Source organism: Homo sapiens, chromosome 6, assembly GCF_000001405.40.
Source record: "Homo sapiens chromosome 6, GRCh38.p14 Primary Assembly".
NCBI classification, from domain to species: Eukaryota; Metazoa; Chordata; class Mammalia; order Primates; family Hominidae; genus Homo; species Homo sapiens.
In genome coordinates, this window is record NC_000006.12 from 139,969,079 (window position 1) to 139,976,760 (window position 7,682).

Genomic DNA, 7,682 nt, shown 5'->3' on the forward strand with positions numbered 1-7,682 from the left:
GATTTCTTCTGAGGTCTCTCTTTTTGGCTTGCAAATGGCCGTCTTCTTTGTGTATGTTCACATGGTCTTTCCTCTGTGTGTGTTTGTGTCCTAATCTCCTCTTCCTATGAAACCAGTCAAACTGGACTGGGGCCCTCTCCAGTAATTTCATTTAACCTTTATGTCCCTAAATAGGTCATTCTAAATACAGTAATATTCTGAGGTATTGGGAGTTAGGACTTCAACATATGAATTTTGGGGGAACACAGCAAGGTCCATTATGGAGGGCAATGAGAAATAAAATAAACATCACAATGCACACAACGTTCATAAGATCCTGGCAATTGTCATGAAGAGGTGAGATTATAACTCTTACAATGAACTCACTTTGGTGAGTGGAGTATCTCTGCATTTACCACCTATGTGGGACCAGGCAATGTTCTTTTTCCATTATCACCTGTATCTTGCGAGGGCTCTTGGCCTAGAGTTATATTTATATTAATTTAACAGAAAAATATATATTAGCATTAAATTATTAGCTTATGCTTGAAAAAGCCTTTTTTTTTTTGCCTTGTCCATTCATGCCATTCAGTGTCTAAAATCTTGAGATGTCATCTGCTTTGGTAACAGTGGCTAAAGACAACACATCCTCAAGTTTGTACACAACAGCACCTCCCTTTTCTTCTCCCTGCTGCTCCACTTCTTGTTACTCCAAGTCTGAACCACATAAAATAGACAGTATCCTTATCTTGTGGCTACTACAATCAGTTTGGTAAATTCTGGTGCACCTCAGTCCCGTGACGGTCTCCTTCAGTTACTCTAACACAGGAGAGGTAGAAATTTCCTTTTTCACTCCTTCAAACACAGTACAATGCTGGAAATACAGTAGTAAATGAAGGAGTCAGTATTTATTCTCATAGAAGTTTATTCTGTTGGGGAGAAAACAAATAGTAAATGGGAATATGTAAGAACTTATGAGAAAGAAAAGTGGCTTTTTGTATTAAAATAACAGGATGCCCATCAATGACAGACTGGCTAAAGAAAATGTGGTACATATACACCATGGAATACTATGTAGCCATAAAAACGAATGAGATCATGTCCTTTGCAGTGACATGGATGGAGCTGAAAGCTGTTTTCTCAGCAAACTAACACAGGAACAGAAAACCAAGTCCCACATGTTCTCACTTATAAGAGGGAGCTGAAAAATGAGAACTCATGGACACAGGGAGGGGAACAACACACACTGGGACCTGTTGGGAGAGGGTGGGTTGGGGAGAGCATCAGGAAAAGTAGCTAATGCATACTGAGCTTAATACCTAGGTGATGGGTTGATAGATGCAGCAAACCACCATGGCACATGTTTACCTATGTAACAAACTTGCACATCCTGCGCATGCACCCCAGAACTTAAAATTAAAAAAAAACCAGGATGAAAGACCTCTATTGATAATTTGACAAATGTTGCTGATGGCACTGTGGGAACAAGATATGGATTTCAAGAGAGGAATATTCTAGACAGAGAAAACAATAGTAAAAGAGACCTTAAAAGTCAGGAATGGGAGGTTGCTTTACTTGTTCAAGGATGTGAATAGTCATTTATTCATTCAACAAGTATTTAAAGAATTTGTAAGCAGCTGCCATGTGTTAGACAGTACCTTAGGTTCTGATTCAAAAAAGAAAAAAATAGATGTAGAAAGGGGAAGTAAGTGAACTTTAATCACATAAATATATGTAAAGTTATAATTGTGGTCAGTTTTGTGAAGAGGGATCCAAAAGCAATAAGAACCTCTCACAGGAAAATTTGAATAGTCCAAGCAAATTAGAATGAGCTTCATGGAGGAAATGACGCTTAAATTTCTTTCTGAAGAATGAGAAGTTGTCTAGGTGAAGAGAACAAATACTGGCTGATATGGGAGTGTGATCAGACATTAGCGGTGGAGAGCTTTTTTTTCCCTAAGAGTGGAAAATACCCTGCTGCAAGTATCCCATTGAACATTCTAGAGACCTTTTTTTTTTTTTTTTTTCTGTATCATTCTGCATTACTACCTACCCTTTGGGGCAAGCTGAGTTGATTTATCTCACTATGTCATTCATAAATCTGGATCGGGCTATTAAAATTGCACTGGGTCTCCTGTAATTATCGTAAGAGTTTGAATAAGACACCAGGTGAAGAATTGTGTAGTCAGCATGGGGAAGGGGTTTGTCAGGGAAAGTATGTCCTGAGCTGAGCCTAAAGAGGAAGAGATTTGATGTTAGGACAAATGATTGCTTTGCTCACTGTGGAAAGAGGCACAGGCTTAGAGGAGAGAAACTAATGATTTAACATAATTAGCACAAAGCAAACGTGTCAGTTAGTTAGTCCTGGTCCTCATCTTTAAAAAAGGTTGTGGTTATGCCTTTTTCTTGAGTTTCTAATACTCAGAATCATCCTGTTCTCTCCTTCCATTTCTTACGTCTACTCCCCAAATCTAAATTGTCGCTGTTTCTCAATCTTTTATACATCATGTGGTCCTTCTTCACTTCCAGAGAGATCCTTTTCAATGACGCCTCAGTTATCTGTCACTGTCATTACTATAACTTTAAATTGTCAATTATCTACTCTTTCCAAAAGTTTCACCTTCCTTGGGCTTTTTCTGGATTGATTGTTTCAGTATAATGACTCCGTACCTCGCTCCCTGTAATATGCAATTTAATTAAAGATCATTTTAGTACTATTTTTGTAGGCTCTCATCTTGAATGTTATCATAAGTTTTTTCAACAAAAAAGCTTATATTCTAAGAAGCAGAATACTTGGCTTTATTTTAACTAGCCATGTGTATTTAAAAAAAAAACTTGACAAATGAAAGAACTAATAGTCTAGTTTTCTTTTCTGTTATAAGTTTTTGTTTTCTTTTCCCTTCAAGGTAGAACAAAACCATATATAAATTGCTAATATTTTGAGGGCAAGTGATCTGTTTTATTCAGTGTCCATACTCAGCTTCCAGCCCTTATCGAGGTATATAAAAAATGTTTAATAAATGAATGCATACATAATAAATAGGGAAAGGACAAATGGAGAAAGGTCTATATTAAATCTCTCAGTAAAGGCTTGTTGTACCATCATGTCACAGATACCATAATATTTTCTGTGGGTTCTATTCAGATTCTTTCTTGAAAAAGTTCTTTTAAATCAAGCTTTTGTGTGCATCAATATCACATAGAAAACTTGTGAAAGCATAGCTTCTGGGCCCCATTGTTGATTCAGTAGGTCTGGGATGATTTTTGTCGAACAAGTTCCCATGTGATGCTGTTGGTCTGGGGACCCCTCTTTGAGAATCTCTGCTTTTAATGAAATGTAACGAAAGAACAGGAAGCAAAAAAAGAAGAATGGAAACCCTATTGGTCCTTTAAATGAGAGTACATTTTTCTCTTGCAATTTGGTTCCTCACCCTAGTGTGGTTGCTGCATAAACCCTTTTGATATGATTTACTGATTTCTACACTCTTCTTATTCATGGATTAAGATTTTTGAGGGAAGATTAATATTTAAAGTTTTTTTTTAATAATTGAGAATACATAGACATAGATGATGAAAAGCTGATCAATTTTAACTGCTTCCTGCACAGGTAAAATAATTGCGACTCCTGGGTTCTTTAGAGACACATGAAAGAAGTGGTTATAATAATTTTACAGATTCAACTAAATAAAGAATAGTGTGCATATAATAATTTCATGAGGTAGCACATCAAATCGGTGCTATAAAATCAAATCAGCAAATCAAGATGGCTTATTTAACAAATGTATTGAGAAAGTTCGGTAACAACTTATTTTGTTTTATACTATTTATCAACATAAATTATAAATAAATAACGATGCAAATATTATATATTTTAAAAAGATGTATAAAGCCACTTGAAGAAAATAAATGTTCATCTTTTAATTTTTTTGATTTATATAGCTTATTTATATATTACTTATTTAATCTTAGATAGTGACAATTTTCTTAATGTTAACTTATGAAGGCAACCATAAAAGAAGATTGATAGGTTCAAGTAAACAAAAACAAATACACAAAAGGTACTCTGTCAAAACCACAATAAACATTGTTGTGGGCAGAGAGGAAAATTATTACAAACATTATAAAGGGCATTTTCACTCTGTTACAAAGTCTTGGAGTTTTGTTCATTTTATGACACACTTCAAGTAAGTTATTCTAAGGAAATATTTATGGTCACATATAAAAGTACAATGTAAGAGTACATATCACAGAACTATTAATAATAGCAAAGGTTTGGTAACAACACTATGGGGCTGGAAAAATAAATAGAGGGCCTTGATGTAACAGAGTATCAAATAGCAATTTAAACGGTGTTATAGAAAAATATTGTTATGAAAAATGTGCAGAATATGATATGTATTGAAAAATATTACTACACAAAATTATACAAAATATTCTATTTTGTTTTTAAAATACCTGTTTCAGGACATATCAGATTGGGAAAATATAAACCAAAATTTTAATAGCACTTATCTCTGCATTATTGGATTATATGTGGTTTATTTTCTCCTTTTGACTTACCCGTATTTTCTCAACATTTTATAACAAATTTGTCTCATTCCTGAAATTAAATCATGTTAAACATTTTGAATAATTGCATTATTTTTCTCACAAGTATTTAAATAAAATCCCTCTCAGTCCCATCCTGATCCTCAGCTTTGAACTGTTTCACTCTGCACAGGGGAAAAGTTGAGAATTTATCTCTGGAGTCCTTAGGAATTTTCTCTATGCAATTCACAACAGATTTGATTAGGTGTCCAGTGTAAACTTGACTCCACGGCCCTCCTTCTTCTCTGTCCTAGTTCTCATGTGAATACATAAAAATGTGACCCTCCAGAATTATTTTACATTTTAGCAGAAAGAAATGGTTTCAGTGGAGCTATCCTAACAGTGCTTTTGTATGTCTTGCTTAATAACTCCCTTTCCCTTAATTGAAAAAGGAAAGAAAAAAAATAAAGAATGATGCTGGTTTGGAAATACTTTTAGAGATTGCTGTCTCCAACTGTGCTTGTTCTCGCTGTCTGTTATGGTCCATTAGATAAACATGGTGTTCAACAGTCAGGCTGTTGTTGATATATTTGGCAACACTGATAATGTGATCTATGTTTAGGAGGAAGTGGATGCATCATTCCATGCGGGCATAGGTTTTCTGAAAGTGATTGTTCTTTTTACAAGAAAAAGTTAGATAAGTCATTGAACCTTAAATTCTCACTAAGAGTCTGAACATTTTTAATTTTTGTCATCTGAGGTTTTTTTTTTTTGGTGCTTTTATTGGAATTTCAGATTAATAGTTGGGCTTATTCTCAGAAGCAACCAGTACTAACTGAAAATAAATGCAAACCTGGTTGCTTCTGACTCTTGAGGGTGAAATTAGTATAACAAGAAAAAGGGAGGTGCTTGTTATCTGAGTATATTTCTTTATTGTTCATCAATCACAGTTTTTAGTGTTTTCATTTGTAACCTGCAAGTTTAAAAACAAACAGAAAAGAACCTTGAATCTTAAGATTCTTTTTCTGTTTCTCTCCCTTATATCTATTTATCTATTTATCAATTAATCTACCTACCTGCCTATCTACCTATCTCTCTCTACATACACATATACACATATGTACTATATTTAGACTACATATGTATAGTACATATGTATATGTATATTTAGTACGTATGTATATGTATATGTGTATTTATGTGTATATTTGGACTGTACATATACAGTCTAAATATAGTACATATATGTATGTATTTATACTATATATGCATATTTATACACATATACAGTCTCTTTATATATGTAGTCCTGAAGAAAGGATTGGAATATATTTCATCAAATAAAATACTAACATATTTTGGACATAAAAGGGCATAAAGTCTGAGACATGGAATGTCTTGTAATGTCCAGCTGAATCCTAAATATCCTCAGTGATAGGATTTCAGGCATTTCTCTTGGAAAGTGATTCCATTATCTAATAGTTTTCATTGGGAGGAAATTTTTCCCAACAGGCTTAATGTTCCTCTTCTCAACTGGTTCCATTAAACCTAATTACCCCTTCCTAAAGCTGAGCAATTCCTCTCCTATTGGTATTTACCAAGTTTTAATAGTGGAAAGCAACAATTAGCTCTTCAGCTGTCATAAAATCAGTGTATTTTAAACTTTTTTGGTGTTTCTTTTTAAATGGTATACATACATGCATATGTATATGTGTATCACACATACAACTAGTCACCAAATTTGCTTTAGTGTTTACTTAATGCTGAAATCATATCAGTATTTCAGATGTGCTTACATGGTAAGACATTATTGACTTTTCTCTTATAAATTCTTTATGTCCACAGGTGGCCACTAACAATATAGTAGCCTTCATTCACATTTTATAAAAATGGGTTATAGGTGACAAGCCACAGCTTAACAATCTCTAGCCTCTGTGAAAGTTGGCTTATGTCTATAGTTTGGGCTGGTGAAGATTCCAAGAAAAAAATGCCACTGACCCCATTCAGTTCCATCAAGAAAGGGAATTTTGTTCTATGGGGGAGATGGATGTTATTACTTATTCTCTAGAGAGGGACGTTTAAAATCACTTCAGATTGTTGGAATCTATAGCCTGCGCTATCATGGCAGGAAGCTCAGTGATTTTTAAATTATTTACAGGTAAAATCCCCACCTCCTGTAGTTTTTATTTTTAGAGTGTCCATTTCAGGATTTTAATGCTGAGAAAGTGAAACTATGCTCGCTCTTGTCATCTTCTTCCCTCTCTCTTCCTTTGACCTTCCCCCTTCGCCTCCCCTTCCCTCCTAGTGCTCTGCTCCTTCCCATTTCCTTTCCTACCTCAAATCCCATTACCCACCGCCATACCTTTTTTCCTTCTTTCTCTGACTCTGATTTTTCCCAGTTCTCTCTTAATGAGGTTTATTTGTGAGCCTCAAGCCTCATATTATTGTTCAGTCTTTGGGTATCCTCCATGCTGGGGGCTCCTTCCTGGGCCCATGAAAGATGAGTTTAGGGTCTGAAAGAAGGATCTTTCTTCTTGCCCTCAAGTCACTTCTGTAGCCTGTTGTGGTTTGCATGCTAGATGCATCTGGACTACATGGAAAAGATTTCCTAGAAGTGTCTATGGACTGACTGTGTTACTCCCAAATTCATATGTTGAAGTCCTAATCCCCATCTTGATGGTATTTGGAGGTGGGGCCTTTGGGAGGTAGTTAGGCTTAGATGAGATCATGAGGTTGGGGACTACGTGATGGGATTAATGTCTTTCAAAGGAAATGAAGAAACACAGGAGCTTTCTCTCTCTCCATGCTCAGGTACTGAGGAAAGATCATATGAGCACACAGCAAAAAGGTAACTATCTATCAGGTAGGAAGAATGCCCTCACCAAGAACCATATCGGCCAGTACCTTGATCTTAGACTTCCCAGCCTCCAGAACTGTGAGAAAATAAATGTCTGTTGTTGAAGCCACCACATCCATGGTATTTTGTTGTAGCAGCCCAAACTGACTAAGACAAAGTATCTTCTTTTCAAAGATTGGACTTTATATTTTTTACTTGTGTTAGTATTTCATAATCCCAAAGTTCTACAACTTCCATATAACAAAAATTTTGAATTCAGTACAATGACCTTGTAAGTATTTCATTTATAACAAGCCTCTTTAAAATATATTTAGTAACA

At 35.1% G+C, this 7,682-nt stretch overlaps 1 long non-coding RNA gene across 2 annotated transcripts in view; it reads left to right on the forward strand.

Annotated features, from left to right (window-relative positions):
- The first annotated feature begins 7,240 nt into the window (after positions 1–7,240).
- Positions 7,241–7,682, forward strand: part of LINC02941 (long intergenic non-protein coding RNA 2941) — a 117,403-nt gene continuing 116,961 nt past the window's right edge. For both annotated transcript variants that reach the window (NR_121622.1, NR_121623.1), the window contains exon 1: positions 7,241–7,354. This is a non-coding gene — a long non-coding RNA (long intergenic non-protein coding RNA 2941). The remainder of the gene's footprint in view (positions 7,355–7,682) is intronic.